The following is a 21871-nucleotide window of genomic DNA, read 5'->3' as shown; positions in this document are numbered from 1 at the left end:
CCGGCTAATTTTTAAATTTTTTTGTAGAGACGAGGTCTCACTGTGTTGCCAGGCTAGTCTCGAACTTCTGGGCTGAAACCATCTTCCTGCCTTGGCCTCCCAAAGTGCTGGGATTACAGACATGAGACACCATGCCTGGCCCATGTGTTTCTGGAATGGATTTATAATGTCAAACTCTTACTCTTGATGAGTGATCTTCCCAGTGATAAAGAGCTTTGTATTTGAGGAAGCCTTTCTTTCCTATTCTTCGTGGTATTTATTATTTGTGTAGCTAATACTAGAAGATCTCTTTTGTGCTGTGTTTTGTTGTAGGGGCTTGGAATATTTTGTTAGCAACATGAGAGCTTTACATTCATGTAGGTGTTTGGGGGTGGGCAAACAAAAATAAACTGATAATTTCAAATAAGAGTAAGTGTTAGGAAGACAAGCAAATGTTAAATTGATAGTGACTATGCATGTATGCTTCAACTATCAAAAATTAGGGGCTGGGTAGGCCGGGCGTGGCGGCTCACACCTGTAACCCCAGCACTTTGGGAGGCCGAGGTGGGCAGATCACGAGGTTAGGAGATCGAGACCATCCTGGCTAACACAGTGAAACCCCGTCTCTACTAAAAATACAAAAAATTAGCCGGGTGTGGTGGTGGGCGCCTGTAGTCCCAGCTACTCGGGAGGCTGAGGCAGGAGAATGGTGTGAACCTGGGAGGCGGAGCTTGCAGTGAGCCAAGATTGTGCCACTGCACTACAGCCTGGGCGACAGAGCGAGACTCCGTCTCAAAAAAAACAAAACAAAACAAAAATTAGGGGCTGGGCGTCGTGGCTCACGCCTGTAATCCCAGCACTTTGGGAGGCCGAGGCAGGTAGATCACTTGAGGCCAGTAGTTTGAGATCAGTCTGGCCAACATGGCAAAACCCTGTCTCTACAAAAAAATACAAAAATTAGCCGGGTGTGGTGGTGTGTGACTGTAGTCCCAGCTCCTTGGGAGGCTGAGGCATGAGAATCGCTTGAACCCAGGAGGTGGAAGTTGCAGTGAGATAAAATCATGCCACTCCACTCCACTCTGGGTGACAGAGTGAGACTCCATCTCAAAAAATAAATAAATAAAAGAGAAAAATTAGGGCCAGGTGAGTTGGCTCATATCTGTAATCCCAGGAGTTTGTGAGGCTAAGGCAGGAGGAGTGCTTGAGCCCAGGAGTTCAAGACTGGCGATGTAGCCTGGGCAATATAGGAAGACCCTGGCTCTACAAAAATAAATCATTAGCTGGGCACGGTAGCTCATGCCTGTAGTCCCAGATGTTTGGAATGCTGAGGCGGGAGGATCGCTTCAACTCAGGAAGTAGAGGCTATGGTTAGCCCTGATCGTGCTGCCGCACTCCAGCCCTGACAAGAGAGTGAGACAGAAAAAAAAATTAGTTGCTCAAGTTTTAGACGTAATGTAAATATTTTCTATCTTAGCTTTAAGAATTTGCTGTGTGAATTGCGTATGTCCCATAGCTTGCTTGTTTTTTTTTTTTTGAGATGGAGTCTCGCTCTGTCGTGCAGGCTGGAGGCAGTGGCGCGATCTCGGGCCACTGCAACCTCTGCCTCCCGGGTTCAAGCAATTCTCCTGCTTCAGTCTCCTGAGTAGCTGGGATTACAGGTGCGTGCCACCACGCCTGGCTAATTTTTATATTTTTAGTAGAGATGGGGTTTCTCCATGTTGGTCAGGCTGGTCTCAAACTCCCGACCTCAGCTGATCTGCCCGCCTTGGCCTCCCAAAGTGCTGGGATTACAGGCGTGAGCCACTGTGCCCGGCCAGTTGCTTTATTTTTAAAGCTATTAAAATTTTAATCTTCTTAAACACTCTGGAAATCTTTTTTTTTTCTTTCGAGACAGGTTAAAAGAAAAGCTCACTGCAGCCTTGACCTCCTTGTCTCAAACCATTCTCCTGCCTCAGCCTCCCAAGTAGCTAGGACCATAGGCAAGTGCCACCATGCCCAGCTAATTTTTTAAAAATTTTTTTGTAGAGATGAGGTCTCCCTATGTTGCCCAGGCTGGTCTCACACTCTTGGGCTCAAGCAGTCCTCCCGCCTCAGCCTCCCAAAGTGCTGGGATTATAGGAATGAGCTACTGCACCCAGCCTGGAAGTCTTATTATAGTTAAGTGTATGACCCAAATGAAAGATCTTGATTCTTATTTAGCTTTTAAGAAAATTCATATTAACTTTTATTGCAGAATAATTGTGCCACAGAAAGTATTTTAGAGAATAACGTTGTGATTAACGTTATAATTTGCAATATCATTTATAGACTAAAATCTCCAGTTAGCAACCCGTGTGAGACTAGAAGAATCTGTCTTTGTAAAAAATTTTTAATATGGATTATTTTGAAAATCAGGATGATAAAAGCATTTATGGCAATATATTTGTATACACAAGGTTTATCCAAGATTACAGATTTTTTTTTTTTTTTTGAGACAGAGCCTCACTCTGTTGCCCAGGCTGGAGTGCAATAGTGTGATCTCGGCTCACTGCAACCTCCACCTCCTGGGTTCAAGTGATTTCTCCTGCCTCAACTTCCTGAGTAGCTGGGATTACAGGTGCCCGCCACCACGCCCGGCTAATTTTTAAAATATTTTTATTAGAGATGAGGTTTCACCACGTTGGCCAGGCTGGTCTTGAATTCCTGACCTCAGATGATTCGCCCACCTCAGCCTCCCAAAGTGCTGGGATTACAGGCATGAGCCACTGCACCCAGCCGATAACAGATGATTTAACGGGGCTTTTTGAAAATTTCCATGTTGTCCTTGTAGGAAAATCATCTCTGGTTCTTTATAGTTTCATCATTGTAGATCTAGAAAGAAGTGAGTGCCCTTTGGTGGTTAGAAACACTATTTAAGGGAAATTATGAATAATAAAGCTTTCTGCAAGAACAATTTTATCGTTTCCTAATTAATGGTTTATTGGGAGAAGTGACTTATTCCATTGTGCATTAGATTGGAAATTGTCTTGAATCCAGTGTTTAGAGAACAGATTGCAAGCCTTTTTCATATTGTGTTACTTGATTACATGATGATCTGTACTCTTCAGAAGTATCCTATGCAGCTTTTTTTAATAAATCAATATTTCTTAAAATATTTTAATTATAGCAATTAATGAGTCAGAAATCATTATTTCTCAACAAATTAGCTATTGGTGTTCCTCAGAAGTTATAATTAAGACTTATTCAGCCTGGATAACCTAAGGAGACCTCATTTACAAAGAGATGGAGTCTCTTTGTGGGTGTAGTGGTGCACACTGTGGTCTCAGCTGCTTGGGAGTCTGAGGTGGGAAGATTGCTTGGGCCCAGGAGGTGGACGCTGCAGTGAACTGTGATTGTGCCACTGCTTTCCAGCCTGGGAGACAGAGCGAGACCCTGTCTCAAAAAAGAAAAGAAAAAGACTTATTGCTCTAGGATGGTGTTTTTCAAATTTTGTGAAACATAGTAACATGTACTTTTTTTTAAACCTTGAAACCCAGTCCATACATTATATGTATGAAAAAGAAGTTTTAAAAACACTGTTTACTCTTTGTGCAATTCATTCTGATACTTTTTTACTTATTTCTTTTTTAAAATGCTGGTTCAGTGTACTAAGTTGGTTTTATTCCGCCACTGTTTTTAAAAAGTTGTTGACTTTTACTTTCAGAGATATTGAAAAAAAGCTTTACAATCTTTTTTTTTTTTTTTGAGACAGAGTTTTGCTCTTGTTGCCCAGGCTGGAGTGCAACGGCATGATCTCAGCTCACTGCAACCTCTGCCTCCCAGGTTCAAGGGAGTCTCCTGCCTCGGCCTCCCGTGTAGCTGAGATTACATGCACCTGCCACCATGCCCAGCTAATTTTTTGTATTTTTGGTAGAGATGGGGTTTCACCATGTTAGCCAGGCTGGTCTCAAACTGTTAACCTCAGGTGATCCACCCGTCTTGGCCTCCCATAGTGCTGGGATTACACCTGACCTAAAATCTATTTATTTTTATTTTTTAAATATATACGAAAAAATAGACACAGAGTCTCATTATGTTGCCCAGGCTGGTCTTGAACTCCTGAGCTCAAATGATCCTCCCTGGCTTGGTTTCCCAAGGTGCTGGCATTACAGGCATGAGCCACTGTGTCTGGCCTAAAATTTATTTTTATTTAAAATTATTTGGCTGCAGGCTGGGCAACATGGTGAGACCCCATCTGTAAATATATATATATATGCTGAGTGTGGTGTCACATGGCTGTAGTCCTGGCTAGTTGGGAGGTTGAGGCAGGAGGATTGCTTCAGCGCAGGAGTTCGAGGTTGCAGTGAGTTATGATTATGTCACTGCATTCCGGCCTGGGTGACAGAGTGAGACCTTGTCACTAAAAAAAAAAAAAAAAAAAAAAAAAAAAAAAAAAAAGAATTTCCTTTTTATATTGTTCATTGCTAGTGTATAGAAGTGCAACTGATTTTTGTATGTTGATTTTGTATCCTATAACTTTGCTGAATGTGTTACTTCACTGACAGGTTTTTTTGTGTATGGAGTCTTTAGGGTTTTACACATATAAGATCACGTCATTTGCCAACAGAGGTAATCTTACTTCTTACTCTCTAATCTGGATTCCTTTAATTTCCTTTTTTATGTCTAATTACTCTCACTAGAACTTCCAGTACTATGTTTAATAGAAGTGGCAAAAGTGGACACCTTGACCAGGCGTGGTGGCTCACGCCTGTAACCTCAGTACTTTGGGAGGCCGAGGTGGGAAGATCGCTTGTGCTGAGGAGTTCAAGACCATCCTGGAAAACATAGTGAGACCTTGTCTCTCAAAAAATAAGTGGATATCTTTTTCTTGATCTTAAGGGAAAGCCTTTCAGTCTTTCACTGTTGAGTATGATATTAGCTATGAGTTTTCATAAATGGCCTTTATTATGCTGATGTTTCCTTCTAGAATCTAGTTTATTGTTTTTTCATTACAGGGTATTGACTTGTCAACATTTTTTTGGTATCAGTTGCAGTGGTTATGTGGTATGTTGAACTGTCTTTGAATTCCTGAGATTTAGTTTATTTAGTCATGATGTATAATCCTCTTATGCTGCTGAATTCATTTTCCTAGTATTTTGTTGAGGATTTTTATAACTATAGTCATGAGTGATATATTGGTCTATAGTTTTGTTTTCTCACAGTGTCTTTAGCTTTGGTAATGCTGGCATCATAAAATGAGTTAGGAAGTGTTACCTCCCAGTCAATTTTTGGGAAGAGTTATGAGAAGGATTGGTGTTAATTCTTCTTTATTTTATTTAATTATTTAAAGAGATGGGTCTGGTTTTGTTGCTTAAGTTTGTCTCGAACTCCTAGCCTTAAGTGATCCTCCTGCCTCAGCCTCTCAAATTGTTGGGCTTACAGGCATAAGCCGCCATACCCGGCTTTAATTCTTCTTTAAATGTTTCGTAGAATTTACTAGTGAAGTCATCATGTCCTGGGTTTTTCTGTTTTGGGAAGTTTTTGATTATTGATTCAATTTCCTTACTACTTATAGGTCTATTTAGTTTTTCTGTTTCTTTATGAGTCAGTTTTGGTAGATTTGTCCATTTTATCTTGGTTATCCAATTTGTTGTTGTACAATTGTATATGGTATTCTCTTATAAATCTTTTTATTTCTATAAAGTTGGTAGTAATGAGGCCTGTTTCATTTCTGTTGCTAGTAATGTGAGTCCTCTCTTTTATTCTTGACCTGTCTTGCCAAAAGTTTGTCAATTTTGTTGATCTTGGTGAAGAACTTTTAGTTTCATTGACTTTCTGTATTTTTCTATTCTCTATTTCATTTTTCCCCACTATAATCTTTATTATTTCTTTTGCTAGCTTTGAGTATTGTTTTTTTCTAGTGGCATATGGCATAAGGCATAGTTAGGCCTAGTTCCTAATTTGATTTGAGATCTTTCTTCTTTTTTAATTGCATGTGTTTGCAGCTATAAATATCATTCTGGCCGGGCACAGTGGCTCACGCCTGTAATCCCAGTGCTTTGGGAGGCCGAGATGAGTGGATCACCTGAGGTCAGGAGTTTGAGAGCAGCCTGGGCAACATGGTGAAACCCCATCTCTACTAAAAATACAAAATTAGCCAGGCGTGATGGCGTGTGCCTGTAGTCCCAGCTACTTGGGAGGTTGAGGCAGGAGAATCACTGGAACTCAGGAGGCAGAGGTGGCAGTGAGCCAAGATTGTGCCATTGCACTCCAGCCTGGGCAACAAGACCAAAACTGCATCTCAAAAAAAAGAGAAATAAATAAATAAATTTCATTTTAACCACTGCCTTTGCTGCATTCCATAGGTTTTGGTATGGTTGTGTTTTCATTTGTCCAAAGTGACTTTCTAATTTCCCTCGTGATTTCTTTGACTCATTAGTTATTTAAGAGTGATGTTTAATTTTCATGTATTTGTGACTATTGTAGTTTTGCGATATTGTTGATTTCTAGTTTCATTCCATTTTGACTAGAAAAGATTGTGAGATTTCAATCTTTTTAAATTTATTAAGACTTGTGGCCTAACATATGGTTTACTCTGGGAAAAAAAAAACATAAAAGAACATGGAAAAAGTTCTATGTGTACTTGAGAAGACTGTGTAATCTACTGTTGTTGGGTGGAGTTTTCTGTGTACATCTTTTAGGTTCAATGGCTTATAGTGTTGTTCAAGTTCTCTGTTTCCTTATTGATCTTCTGTCTGGTTGTCTTAATCGTAATTGAAAGTGAGGGGTACAGAGTTTTTGTTTGCATAATGAAGAAGTTCTGAAAATAGATACTATACCGGTAATAGTTATTTAACATTTTGAATGTACTTAGTCCTACTGAATTATACTCTTTAAAATGGTTAAACTATTGGATGTAAAATAAGGAATCAGAACTCTAAGAAAAGTCCAAGACTTTATGAAAAAACAAAAATTATAGTTACGGAATTTAAAAACTTAGTGAATGAGCTGGGTATAGGGATGCATGCTTATAGTCTCAGTTGCTCAGAAGGCTGAGGCAGGAGGATCCCTTGAGGCCAGGAGTTCAAGATCAACTTGGGCAACAAAGTGAGACCCCTGTCTCTATGAGTTAGAGTGAAGTTTAAACAGAGCTGAAGATAACAATTAATGAACTGGAAGATCTGACAGGGTAACTAATAATGAAGATCCTAGAAATAAGAGATGAAAAGTACAAAAGAAGTTGAAACATGGACTAGAATTAGAAAGTTCAAAATATCTAAAGGGAGTTTCAGGTAGAGGGAGTAGAGAGATGAGAAAGGACAAAGGCACATTCAGAGAGATGACAGCATTCAGAGAGATGACAGTAGAATTTTAAGAATTAACAAAAAACATCACCATTCAGATTCAGGAAGTACAGTGAAGATTACCAAAGAGAAGATCTTAAAAGCAACTAGAGTAAAAAAACATTCCTGCAAATAATCAAACAGAGCAAACTTTGCCACAGCGGCAGTAGAGGTCAGAAGATAGTAGAAAATATCCTCAGTGTCTGTCTGTAAACATAGAACTTTTTTTTTTTTAATTGAGTCAGAGTCTTGCTCTGTCGCCCAGGTTGGAATGCAGTGGTATGATGTCGGTTCACTGCAACTCTGCCTCCCAGGTTCAAGCAATTCTCCTGCCTCAGCCTCCTGAGTAGCTGGGATTATAGGCGTGTGCCACCATGCCTGGCTAATTTTTGTATTTTTAGTAGAGATGCAGTTTTGCCATGTTGACCAGGCTCGTCTCGAACTCCTGACCTCATGTGATCCACCCGCCTCGGCCTCCCGAAGTGCTGGAATTACAGGCATGAGCCACCGTGCCTGGCCTGTAAACCTAGAACTGTTAATCAAAAGAAACAGTTTAGGAAGACAAAAGGTGGAACAAAATTCTTCATAACATGTCAGTGGAAGAGAATAGATAGAATTAATATTTTAAGTTTCTTATACTGTTTGGAAAAAGGGCACAAAGAAATATGCTGAAAATACGTGGTAAATATATTCTATATCAGTAGAAATTTTACAACAAAATTTCCAAAAATGTGTTCTTCAGAGTAGTTTTTATTTATTTATTTATTTATTTTTTGAGAGACAGTCTTGCTCTGTCACCTAGGTTGGAGTGCAGTGGCGCAATCTCAGCTCACTGCAACCTCTGCCTTCCAGGTTCAAGCGATTCTCATGCCTCAGCCTCCCGAATAGTTGGAACTACAAGCACGCGCCTCTGTACCCAGCCAATTTTTGTAATTTTAGTAGAGACGGGGTTTCACCATGTTGGCCAGGAGGCTGGTCTCGAACTCCTGACCTCAAGTGATCCACCCGCCTTGGCCTTGCAAAGTGCTAGGATTACAGGCATGAGCCACCATGCCCAGCCCATAGTAGGACTTTTTTAAAAATGGTCAAAACTTTTGGTAATGTATAGGAGAATGAGCTGATGACTTTTTGGAAGACTTTAAGAAAAAGAAAATACGAGGTTTTAAAAAATATTTAAAACATTTTATTATTATTATTATTATTATTATTATTATTATTATTTTTGAGACAAAGTTTTGTTCTTGTTGGCCAGGCTGGAGCGCAGTGGCGTGATCTCAGCTCACTGCAATCTCCACCTTCCGGGCTCAGCGATTCTCCTGCCTCAGCCTTCTGAGTAGCTGGGATTACAGGCACCTGCCACCATGCTGGCTAATTTTTGTATTTTTAGTAAAGATGGGGGTTTCACCATGTTGACCAGGCTGGTCTTGAACTCCTGTCCTCAAGGTGATCCACCCTCCTTGGCCTCCCAAAGTTCTGGGATTACAGGTGTGAGCCACTGTGCACGGCCAGTATTTTTTTTCATTTTTAAATTTATTTTTATTTTTATTCTTTTTAGGCATGGGGTCTCGCTTTGTCACCCAGGCTGGAGTGCAGTGGCTCAGTCCTAGCTCACTGCAGCCTTGAACTCCTGGGCTCAAGTGATCTTCCTGCCTCAGCCTCCCAAGTAGCGTGAACTATAGGAGTCCACCACCACGCCCAGCTAATTTTTAAATTTTGTTTTTGTGGAGATGGGGTCTTGCTACGTTGCCTAGGCTGGTTTCAAACTCCTGACTTCAAACACCTGACTTCAAGTAATCCTCCTGCATTGGTCTCCCAAAGCATTAGGATTACAGGCATGAGCCACTGCTCCCAGCCTTAAGTAAGCTTATAAGAAAATTAAGAACTTGGCCGGGTGCGGTGGCTAACACCTGTAATCCCAGCTCTTTGGGAGCTGAGTGGGAGGTGGGCAGATCCCCTGAGGTCAGGAGTTCAAGATCAGCTTGGCCAACATGGTGAAACCCCGTCTCCACTAAAAATACAAAAATCAGCTGGGTGTGGTTGGTGTGCACCTATAATCCCAGCTACTCGGGAGGCCAAGGCAGGAGAAACACTTGAACCTGAGAGGTGGAGGTTGCACTGAGTCGAGATTGCGCCACTGCACTCCAGCCTGGGTGACAGAGCAAGACTCTGTCTGGAAAAAAAAAAAAAAAAAAAAAGAACTTAGGTTTAGCAAAAGACACTGGCAAAAGCAAGAGTACTTCACAGAAGCAAAAGCCTGAATGGTCAACACATAAATGAAAAAATGCAGAACTTATTTAATAAACAAGGACATTCAAATTAAATGAAATGCTGTTTTTACACCCATCAGACTGATAGTGGTAGTGTTGGCAAAGATGTGGAAAAAGGAAGAGGACTTCTATTCACTATTGGTGGAAATGTGAATTGTTGCAATCACTTTGGAAAAATTTGGCCTCATCTAGTAAAGTTCAGCATGCACATACCCTGTGACCTAGCAGTTCTGTTCCTAGGTTTGTATGTTAGATACTTGGCTAGCACAAAAGTAGTTTATGTCACCATTATTGGTCAAGCCAATAAAATAGCAGAGTATGGCAGTGAAGAGCATCTATAGGTACACTGTCTAGGTTCACATCCTAGCTCTGCCACTAGTTTTGTAACTTTTGGTTCACTAGCCTCACTGTGATTCATTTTCCTCATCTGCAAATATAGTACCTGCCCAATCACACAGGCTTGATATGAGGATGAGATAAATTAATATTTGTAGCCTGTCTTGAGTGTTATTTAAGTGTGCTACGTGCAGCAATATAGATGAATCTAAAAAACATGTTGAGTAAAAAATAAGTTGCAGCAAAATATATACACTATCACAATTTATGTAGTTCAAAAGCATATAGCAGTTAACAAAGTTTAACAAGAAAATTCTTAAAATTTAGGAGTGTTTAAACCTCCTTGCAGGAGATGGCATAAGGAGGGGCACATGGGAGGTTTCTGTTTCTTTAAAATTTTTTCTTTTTAAATCTGTGATCTGGAAAAGGTAAAAAAAATTTAATGTATTATTTATTTTTATTTTATGTTTTTATCAATCTTGGCCTACAGAAGGTTTTTATTTTTTAAGCTGGGTAGTAGGACATAGGTGATTTTCAAGTTCTTTGGACCACGCATGTTTATATGTATTATATTTCATAATAAAATGTAATTAAAAATAAGTTTGGGGGCCGGGCATGGTGGCTCATGCCTGTAATCCCAGCACTTTGGGAGGCCAAGGGGGGCGGATCACGAGGTCAGGAGATCGAGACCATCCTGGCTAACACGGTGAAACCCCGTCTCTACTAAAAATACAAAAAATTAGCCGGGCGTGGTGGCGGGTGCCTGTAGTCCCAGCTACTCGGGAGGCTAAGGCAGGAGAATGGTGTGAACCCAAGAGGCAGAGCTTGTAGTGAGCCGAGATTGTGCCACTGCACTCCAGCCTGGGCAACAGAGCAAGACTCTGTCTCAATTAATCAATCAATCAATCAATCAATAAAATAAGTTTGGGAGGCCAGGCATGGTTGCTCACGCCTGTAATCCCAGCACTTTGGGAGGCCGAGGTGGGCGGATCACTTGAAGTCAAGAGTTCGAGACCAGCCTGGCCAACATAGCGAAACCCCGTCTCTACTAAAAAATACAAAAATTAGCTGGCTGTGGTGGCACATGCCTGTAGTCCAAGGTATTCAGGAGGCTGAGGCAGGAGAATCGCTTGAACCTGGGAGACGGAGGTTGCAGTGAGCCAAGATTGCACCACTGTACTCCAGCCTGGGCGACAGAGTGAGACTTTTTTTTTTTTTTTTAAAAAGAAGGTTCTGATATGTGGGGCTAAATTAAACACTACTTTGATGGAGCACCTCTCAGAACGTTAATATATTACCTGTGCTTTGTGAGCTTCTGTGAGAGATACTTTCAGTGATCCCCAGTTGATCATGGAGCCTTTTGGGAGTTAACATCTAGATTAGGACTATATTCTGGGGATTGTTAATTTTTAGCTTGAGTTTTGTTTATTTTTTAATTATTTTTTTCTGACTGCAAAGACCTAAAAGAGATAGCTTGAGTTTTATTGGCTGAATAGGCTTCTATTGCACAGATACTTTATATAACTAAGGAACCTATTGGATGCTGTAGTAGTACTTTTTTTACTCTTACGAACATTGAAATATTAAAATTTTTTTCATGAGACTGAAATCTTTGCTTATTGTTAATCATGAACTTGGGCTTTTTCCGAAATGTACTATTTAATTTCCTTTACTATAGGAGGGAATTGTCGAGAATCTTTTCAAATGGGCCCGAGAGGCCGATCAACCATTGAGGACATATTCTACTGGACTGTTAGGAGGTGCTATGGAAAATCAAGACATTGCTGCCAACTATAGAGATGAAAATTCACAGCTGGTAAGGACTGTGTTAGAATAAATTTTTATATAAAATGGGAGAGTATTCACAGGTTCTTGTTACTTGAATCTGAATAAGTAGATCATATTGATTATCTTGTACTGGAGCATGGCTATAATTTCAATATTAGTTTCCATAAGAGTTTTTAAAAATTGAAAATAGCTTTTTTTTTTTTTGAGACGGAGTCTTGCTTTGTTGCCCGGGTTGGAGTGCAGTGATGCAATCTTGGCTCATTGCAACCTCTGCCTCCCGGGTTCAAGCAATTCTCCTGCCTCAGCCTCCTGAGTAGCTGGGGTTACAGGTTCCCACTACTATGCCCAGCTAATTTTTTGTATTTTTAGTAGAGACAGGGTTTCACCATGTTGGTCGGGCTGGTCTCGAACTCCTGACCTCATGATCCACCTGCCTAGGCCTCCCAAAGTGCTGGGATTACAAGCGTGAGCCACCGTGTCTGGCAGAAAATAGCTACTTTTAATCTTGTCAAGGATGATGACATTGTATGCCAATAAAGAATAGTAACATTCCCTGTTTCCCTTTCTACCATTTGTGTTATGAAAATTTTCAAACATGTAGTAAAATTGAAAGCATTTTACAGTGAACAACTACATATATACATCACCTAAATTGATTGTGAACACTTATAATATCCATCCATCTGCCCTTTTTTTTCCCTCCCCCCCATCAAATTTTATTTTAAGTTCTGGGGTACTTCTGCAGGATGTGCACGTTTATTACATAGGTAAACATGTGCCATGGTAATTTGCTGCACAGATCAACCCATCACCTAAGTATTAGGCCCAGCATCCATTAGCTATTCTTCCTGATTTCTCTTCCCACTCCCCTTCGATAGGCCCCAGTGTGTATTGTTCCCCTCAGTGTGTCCCTATCGTTCATTTCCCACTTATAAGTGAGAGCATGCGGTGTTTAGTTTTCTTTTCCTGTATTAGTTTGCTGAGGATAACAGCTTCCAAGTGCCCTTCCTTTTATCTATCCACTATTCTGATTTAAAAAACGCAGTTCAAAGTAAAGTGCACACAAAATCCCTCTCTTTTTTTTTTCTTTTTTTGAGACGGAGTTTCACTCTTGTTGCCCAAGCTGGAGTGCAATGACGCGATCTCGGCTCACTGCAACCTCCACCTTCCGGGTTCAAGTGATTCTCCTGTCTCAGCCTCCCGAGTAGCTGGGATTACAGGCGAGCACCTCCACACCCTGGAAATTTTTTGTATTTTTAGTAGAGACGGGGTTTCACCATGTTGGCCAGTCTGGTCTCAAACTCCTGATCTCAGGTGATTCGTCCATCTTGGCCTCCCAAATTACTGGGATTACAGGCGTGAGCTACCGCACCTGGCCATCCCTCTCTCTTTAAAATGAAACACAGTACCACTTTATAGCGTTGGCCCAAAAAGTATGTACTTAAAAAAGAACTTGAAAAATGATAATGTAGTTATGTATAATATACATGGCAATATCTAATGGAATACAACCTACAGTAGATAAAAGTTTGAGAAACTTTCATGTTTGGTTTTCAAAGACACATTAGAAAAATCATGAATATATCTAATTTCTGCCTCTTCAGGTGTGATGGTCCAGGTCAACTTGACCCAAACAGATCAGTTGTCAATGATGTATTTTATGTGCAAATCTTCTGGTTTGGATTCTCTGGAAAATTTTATGAGGAACAATACTTAGCTGTTACTTATTTCATCAACTTATAGGAATCAAAGCAACGCATTTATCAAATTGTTGCTATTACAGGCGTTGGGCTCACTGCATGAGTCTCCAGTTATTATGTGGAAATAAGAATTATTAAGGATTACTTAATCCTTAATAAAGAGGCACCCCCTTTTTCTCCAATTATCTGTTGATAGGTGGCAATAGTGCTTCGAAGACTGAGGGAGCTACAGCTACAGGAAGTGGCTTTGCGGCAGGAAAACAAGCGTCCCAGTCCACGGAAGCTCTCTTCTGAACCCCTTTTGCCTCTGGATGAGGAGGCTGTGGATATGGACTATGGTGACATGGCTGTAGATGTAGTGGATGGAGACCAAGAGGAAGCTTCTGGAGACATGGAGATCTCCTTTCATCTTGATTCAGGCCACAAGACTAGTAGCAGAGTGAACTCAACAACCAAACCTGAGGATGGAGGATTAAAGAAAAACAAGTCAGCAAAACAGGGTGACAGAGAGAACTTTAGGAAAGCCAAGCAAAAGTTGGGTTTCTCATCTTCTGATCCAGATCGCATGTTTGTTGAGCTGTCTAATAGCAGTTGGTCAGAAATGTCTCCCTGGGTGATTGGCACCAATTATACCCTTTATCCTATGACTCCTGCTATCGAGCAGCGACTCATTCTCCAATATTTGACCCCTCTAGGAGAATATCAGGAGGTAAGCTTATTGGGAAGAGTACTGTTCACACATAGGAATTATTGTGTTCATTTCTGTGGTATTTTATGGTAGTATTTTATACAAAGATATATTCTAACTCTACCACAAACAAGGGTTTGCATGAAACTGTTCAAGTCTTATGCAGGTCATTCCTGATATGGTCTATTTGATTAAAGTGCATTTACACGTTTATCTTCACAGGGAGGGAGGAAGAGGTGCATCATTTCTTTAGGCTTCTATCCTCAAAGAGTGGAATAGGAAATACATGACAATAAAGCCAAAATTTAAGACTTGTATTTGGTGTTCATTTCAGCTACTTCCCATATTCATGCAACTTGGATCACGGGAGCTGATGATGTTCTATATTGACCTGAAGCAAACTAATGATGTCCTGCTTACATTTGAGGCACTAAAGGTAAAGTTCTTAAAAATATTGGGTCACCGGGGATTTTTTAAAAACTTTGTTTTTTTTTAAATTTAAGATGGAGTCTCACTCTGTCGCCCAGGCTGGAGTGCAGTGGTGCGATCTTGGCTCACTGCAACCTCCGCCTCCTGGGTTCAAGTGATTCTCCTGCCTCAGCCTCCCGAGTAGCTGGGATTACTGTCACATGCTACCGTGCATGGCTGATTTTTATATTTTTAGTAGAGATGGGGTTTCACCATGTTAGCCAGGCTGGACTCAAACTCCTGACCTCAAGTGATCTGCCCGCCTTGGCCTCCCACAGTGCTGGGATTACAGGCGTGAGCCACTGCGCCTGGTGAAGCTTTACTTATTTATTTTTAGAGATAGGTCTCACTCTGTCACCCAGGCTGGAGTGCAATGGGGTGATCATAGCTCACTGTGGCTTTGAACTCCTAGGCCCAAGCAATCCTACCTCAGCCTCCTGAGTAGCTGAGACAAGTGCATGCCACCATGCTTAGCTAATTTAAAAAAAATTTTTATAGAGATAGTCTTGCTATGTTGCCCAGGCTGGTCTTAAACTGGACTGAAGCAATCCTTCTGCTTTGGCCTCCCAAAGTACTAGGATTATAGGTATGAGCCACCATACCCTGTGTCACTGAGCATTTTATTGACAGAGATGTGCCTGTGTGTTTTAGCATGTAATTTCTCTGCATTTTATTGCTCAAGTTATTTCTATAGCCAGATGCATCAGAATAGTAACAATCAAAACATTCTTGTTTAGATAGAAGAGAGGAGGCTTACTATCTCTACAGAAACTTAGGTGTTAATCTAAAAGGCTGAACGTTGAGATAAAAAGTGAATCTAGACATGGGGTGGCCTCAGTTGTTGCTGAATAGGAGAGGAAAAACTATGAAATAGTGCTTGCTTATGCCCTACTTTTTAGATATTACCTGTATCAGCTAACAACAATTTTTTCTTTTTTTCTTTTTTGAGATGGAGTCTCGCTCTGTTGCCCAGGCTGGAGTGCAGTGGTGTGATTTCTGCTCACTGGAACCTCCGCTTCCTGGGTCAAGCAATTCTCCTGCCTCAGCCTCCTGAGTAGCTGGGATTACAGGTGCCTGCCACCATGCCTGGCTAATTTTTTGTATTTTTAGTAGAGATAGGGTTTCACCATGTTGGCCAGGCTGGTCTCAAACTCCTGACCTCAAGTGAACCACTCGCCTCAGCCCCCCAGAATGTAGGGATTACAGGAGTGAGCCATCACGCCTGGCCACAAAAAAATTTTTTAAACTATGTACATATTGTATAATGTAAAATTACCTAGGATTAACAAAATAGAAACCAGAAAATGAGTAATGAAATAGCAGACAGAATTAGCTGGGCATGATGGCAGGTACCTGTAATCCTAGCTACTCAGGAGGCTGAGGTGGGAGAATCGCTTGAACTCGGGAGGTGGACGTTGCAGTGAGCAGAGATCGTGCCATTGTACTCCAGCCTGGGCAACAGAGTGAGACTCTGTCTCAAAAAAAAAAAAAAAAATAGAAATAGCAGACAGGCCAGGCACGTTAGCTCACGCCTGTAATCCCAGGACTTTGGGAGGCTGAGGCAGGAGGATAGCTTGAGCCCAGGAGTTTGAGACCAGCTTAGTCAACATGGGAGACCTGGTCTCTACAAAAAATACAAAAATTAGCCTGGCGTGGTATCTTGCACCTGTAATCCCAGCTACTCAGGAGGCTGAGGCATGAGAATCACTTGAACCCGGGAGGCGGAGGTTGCAGTGAGCTAAGATCACTAGGGTGAGCCTGAGCGACAGGGTGAGACTCTGTCTCTGAAAAAAACAAAACAGGCAGACCCTTCAACTCAGTAAAGGTTTCACAGGGGCTAAACATAGGAGGGCAAGTAAGTCTAATTCACAAGGTCCACACTTAATTCAAGGTGACTAAGCTGATCTGAATGGAGAGAGATAGTTGAATGAATAACAATGTAGCTGTCATACAGTTCTCCTCAATAGGTAACTGTTGAGAGATGAGGTCATTAAAATTACTTTTTAAAAAAATGTATATAACACTTCGGCGCAGCGCGGTGGCTCATGTCTGTAATCCCAGCACTTTGGGAGGCTGAGGCAGGTGAATCACCTGAGGTCAGGAGTTTGAAACCAGCCTGACTGACATGGAGAAACCCCGTCTCTACTAAAAATGCAAAATTAGCTGGATGTGGTGGCACATGCCTATAATCCCAGCTACTCGGGAGGCTGAGGCAGGATAATCGCTTGAACCCAGGAGGTGGAAGTTGCAGTGAGCTGAGATCGTGCCATTGCATTCCAGCCTGGGCAATAACAGCGAACAACATTGTAACAATCCTGAAAGCCAAAAGAAAATAATATTCACAGTCTCACTTAAAATAACTTTTTATTTTTGTGCTTCATTCTAATCTTTATTAATAGACACAGTTGCTTTGAAAATAATTGTTAGCTAGACTTTACAATTCAACTTCACTTGTATCCTAAGAATGTTTACATGTAGCTATATGGTTGTTCTATACAAATTAGATGCTCTGTAATTTTCTTATTTTAGTTTTGTGAGATACCTATGCCGTTTTATTTTTTTGTTACAAAGGACGTTACAGTGAACATCTTTGCATATAATTTTGAGGTTATTTTCTTTGTATTTCTACTGCTTAGAACAGGGACTGGTATATCGTAAGCAATCAACAAATAGTAGTCACTTAGTAAGTGAATGAATTCTCTTAATATTTGTTTCTTGAACCATGGAAATAAGGATTTTCATGAAAAACTGAAGTTACCCTGCTGGGCTAAAGTTTAATTTTAAAATGAAATTACAGTTAAAAAAAAATGCATAACCACACCAAACTTTCAGGGAAATTTTGGGCATGCAGAAGTCAGAAAAGAATGAATGAATATGTAATAAGTAAAATTTTAAGATGAACATATAACAGGTATAAAACTAGCCAAGATTTGAATGGAACACAAAGATGATAAGTTACTTTGTTATAAGTGAGACTGAATATTACTTTTGTTTGGGTTTCCAGGATTGTTACAGTGTTTTCTTTCTTTTTCTTTTTTCTTTTTTCTTTTTTTTCTGGCGTAGTGACTAGACTGCAACAATGTTGTTTGTGTTATGCATTTTATTTTATTTATTGTTTTTTTGAGGACAAGGTCTTACCCTGTCACCCAGGCTGGAGTGCAGTGGCGTGATCTTGGCTCACTGCAACCTCCACCCCCCAGGCTCAAGCCATCCTCCTGCCTCAGCCTCCTAAGTAGCTTGGACTGCAGGTGCGCACCACCCTGCCCAGCTAATTTTTTGTATTTTTGGTAGAGACCGGGTTTCATTATAATGCCCAAGCTACTCTCGAACTCCTGGGCTCAAGCTTTCCATCTGCCACCCTCCCAAAGTGCTGGGATTACAGATGTGAGCAACTGTGCCCAGCCCCCTGTTATACATTTTATAAAAAAGTAATTTTAATGACCTCATCTCTCAGTAGTTACCTGTTGAGAACTGTATGATAGCCACATTGTTATTCATTCAACTACATTGCTCCATTCAGATCAGCTTAGTCATCATGGATAAGTGGGGATCTTGCTTATCTTACTTGCCCTCCCATGTTCAGCCCCTTTGCAACCCAGGAAATAATTTCCCTTTACTGAGTTTGGGGTCTTCTTGCTCTTTCTTTCTTTTTTTTTTTTTTTTTTTTTTTTGACATGGAGTCTTATCTGTCACCTGGGCTGGAGTGCAGTGCAGTGGTGCTATGTTTGCTCACCGCTACCGCTGCCTTCCGGGTTCAAGCAGTTCTCCTGTCTCAGGCTCCCAAGTAGCTGAGATTACAGGCATGTGCCACCACGCCTGGCTACTTTTTTTATTTTTTGTGGAGACAGGGTTTCACCATATTGGCCAGGCTGGTCTCGAACTCCTGACCTCAAGGGATCCGCCTGCCTCAGCCTCCCAAAGTGCTGGGATTAAAGGCGTGAGCCGCTGCACCTGTCTCTCTCTTTTTTTTAAAAGACACTCAAATATGTCAACTTTATTATTTCTCTATACATACCTTTATTTGTACTGAAAATTGTGAAAATAGCACAAAGTTTCATCTTATTGCAGTCCAAATTTTTGAAAGCCAGAAAATCTATTATGCTCTAGGCAAACTACCCAACGGTCTCTTTACGTTCTTTCCCCACAAGTGAGTTTGTTTCAAATTCTTGATGTTGGGTTTTGTCTCACTGACTTTGGGCTTCTAAAACACATGGGAATACTTTTGTCCTCTTGGTGCTTCTTTGGGTCAAATCAAACAGTAGAGCTAAAGTATACTGAAGTTATTAAAATACGTTCAAACTACACAGATCCTTTATAAATTATTAGTATCATGATAGGAAGGAAAGATACAAGAAGAAAAATACATCCTAGAACTCATTTCAAAATTATTGGTATACAGTCTATCCTAGCATAGGGTAGCTTTTTCACCCTGCTGCATAAAATTACTAGCAAGAAAGAAAAGTACAAGAATAAGGGTTATGGCTGACATGGCTCAGTGTCATAATTCCGTATTCTAGCATCCTCAGAAGGATCCCATTGGTTATACATGCAGAAACTGCAGCAACATCTGAATGGTCCACTACTTGATTCATTCTGAACTCTCTTAAGCCCAGTGTTTGTTAGTTCTCTTTCAAGCCTAGAACTCTGCTGAGTAACATGTATCTCAATTTTGCCATCCTTTTCTTTCTATGCAAACAGCAGTGTTCTTACCCCTCTCATGTAGAGCAAGTCATCTCTGATTTCCCTGAGCATCATTGCTCCTGTATATTGTTGTTGGGGTGAATTTTCTGGTAGATGGGAAGGGAATTCAGTACTGGGGTGTATAGTCAAGTTACTAAGGTTCTTTATCAACGTCTTGAAGCAGAAGTTTTGAGAGGCCCCCGAATCATCCTGGGAATTTTCTTCAGTGAGCATTTATGAAGACTCTGGGACCAAGGTCGGATCAAACTTTGTGATGTGCACATCGGTGATCTTGACACAACACTCTCCTTGCTTTTTCTTTAATCATCTTCCCTTTGCCGAACTGCTTATTTTACTACCACTTGGCAACTTTATTTTTGTCTTTGTTCTTTGCTGAACATTTATTGAGTGTTTTTTATGGGCCAGATACTTATGTTCAGGTACGAGGGATACAAGGAGGCCAGTGAATAAATAAATCAAGTCTTTGTCACTTACGGTTTGTTAAGAAAGACAGACATATAAACCTATAATTTTTTTTTTTTTTTTGAGACAGAGTTTCGCTCTTGTTACCCAGGCTGGAGTGCAGTGGCATGATCTCTGCTCACTGCAACCCTGGCCTCCCGGGTTCAAGTGATTATTCTGCTTCAGCCTCCTGAGTAGCTGGGATTATAGGCGTGTGCCACCATGGCCGGCTAATTTTTGTGTTATTAGTAGAGGCTAGGTTTCACAATGTTGGCCAAAGTAGTACAGTTCCAAAGTATTTTGAAATGGAATAGAAATGAGGAAATTTGCCTTTCAACTTTCAGAAATTTCAAGTTTGGAGGAGGTCAGATGTAATTAGAGTAACGTGTCTCTACATGTGGGATTTGGTGTGTGTGTATATATAAAGTGTGTAAGCTCATGGTTATACTTTGCACAGTGGGATGAAGCTGGAGGTCAAAGTTGTCTCCAGTGGCCCAAGGATATTGCTTTCAGTTGCAATTTCTGGTCCTGAACAAGGTGCAGTGGAAGAAGGGATTGGGCAGTTGCTATTTTTAAAGGTTTTTGTGTGGAGAATTATAATGGGTGTCACACAGTTTAGCTGCATCTTGGGAGAAGGAGTGGGTGGAAGTGTGGTAGAGTGTTGTGTAACAAACAAAAAGTAGGTTAATGATAGAAGGGATTTGAATTATATATAAGGGTTAGCCTGAGCCTGGTTATTGAGAGAACTTTTGAAGAGGGCACATCCCTGTTTTTTCCATTGACCTTGGTGAGATTTGTGCAGATATCATATCATGTAATTACAAATCTATGTTGTTGGTACCTGGAAGACACCTTGGCATGGGAAACAGTAGGGGGAGCTCTAGCTTTCCCAAGGCCCTGTCTATGTTGGCCTAGGTTCAGAGTCATCAAGCAGCCTGCTGCTTGGATTATACTCTTTGCCCATAACATTGTGCAGGAGATCTCCACCCAGAGAGGCTAGTGGGACTTGAACAGGCAGTTAAAAAACCTTAAAAAATAAAAAAACTTTAAGACATCTATTTAAAATGCACGTGGTTAGTTCTAAAAATATACTTGTTTAGATACTTTGCTCAAGATTCTTCTTTTGGGGATATATTGATCAATTTAAAGGAAGGCAGATTTTGGGAATTCATTAGTTGATGACTCACTGAGCAAAAGCTAGGATATAGAGCTATTTATATTAAAAGGATTAAAATGGGAAAGTTAGCAAAAGTCCATTAGGGAAGCTATTAAGTTGGTGCAAAAGTAATTGCGGTTTTTGCTATTGCTTTCAAAGGCAAAAACTGCAGTTTTTCACCAACCTAAATATGTAATAGTAAAATGGTTGTAGGGTTACTGATTGTCTGATTGACTGACAGGGTCTTACTTTGTCACCCAGGCTGGAGTGCAGTGGTGCAATTGATCCTAGCTCACTACAGCCTTGAACTCCCCGGCTCAAGCGATCCTCTTACCTCACCGTCCTGAGTAACTGGGACTACAGGCATGCGCCACTGCATTTGGTTAATTTTTAAATTTTTTGTGGAGATGGGGTTGTGCTATGTTGTCCAGGCTGGCCCTGAACTCCTGGCTTCAAGCAGTCTTTTCACCTTGGCCTCTCAAAGTACTAGAATTGCAGGAGTGAGACACCCTGCCTGACCAATATCATTACTTATAGTAAATTTTTTTTTTTTTTTTTGAGACAGGGTCTCCTTCCGTCGCCCAGGCTGCAGTGCAGTGGTGCAATCTTGGTGCACTGCAACCTCCGTCTCCCGGGTTCAGGCGATCCTCCTGCCTCAGCCTCCCAAGTAGCTGGGATTACAGGCACCCACCACCACGTCTGGCAAATTTTTTGTATTTTTAGTAGAGACGGGATTTCGCCATGTTGGCCAGGCTGGTCTCGAACTCCTGACCTCAAGTGATCTGCCTACCTTGGCCTCCCAAAGTGCTGGGATTACAGGCGTGAGCCACTGCACCCAGCCCTTACAGCAATATCTTTCACCTTCATAAAAAAATCAGGCTGGGCATGGTGGCTCACGCCTGTAATCCCAGCACTTTAGGAGGCACAGGTGGGCGGATCACCTGAGGTCAGGAGTTCAAGACCAGCCTGGCCAACATGGTGAAACCCCGTCTCTACTAAAAAATACAAAAATTAGCTGGACGTGGTGGCGGGTATCTGTAATCCTA

General features: G+C 41.1%; 1 protein-coding gene across 42 annotated transcripts in view, besides 1 other annotated feature; it reads left to right on the top strand.

Moving 5' to 3' along the window:
• The window catches only part of DCAF1 (DDB1 and CUL4 associated factor 1), a 109773-nt gene that overhangs the window by 50175 nt on the left and 37727 nt on the right, over window positions 1-21871 (top strand). For all 42 annotated transcript variants that reach the window (XR_007095776.1, NR_146065.2, XR_007095774.1 and 39 more), the window contains 3 exons: window positions 11562-11699; window positions 13568-14080; window positions 14394-14495. Coding sequence is in view for 32 of the 42 variants with exons in the window: in NM_001171904.2 (NP_001165375.1) it covers window positions 11562-11699; window positions 13568-14080; window positions 14394-14495 (753 nt within the window). In the remaining 10 variants the exon portion in view is untranslated. The remainder of the gene's footprint in view (window positions 1-11561; window positions 11700-13567; window positions 14081-14393; window positions 14496-21871) is intronic.
• Window positions 20459-20618: a silencer, noted in NCBI's record as "silent region_14412". NCBI's record gives its function as "represses an Ori minimal core promoter by ATAC-STARR-seq in GM12878 lymphoblastoid cells {active_cell/tissue: GM12878}" and the evidence as "EXISTENCE:reporter gene assay evidence [ECO:0000049][PMID:35858748]".

This window comes from Homo sapiens, chromosome 3 (assembly GCF_000001405.40).
Source record: "Homo sapiens chromosome 3, GRCh38.p14 Primary Assembly".
NCBI lineage: Eukaryota > Metazoa > Chordata > Mammalia > Primates > Hominidae > Homo > Homo sapiens.
Note: the sequence above shows the minus strand (reverse complement) of the source record. Positions and strands in the feature narration are given on the sequence as shown.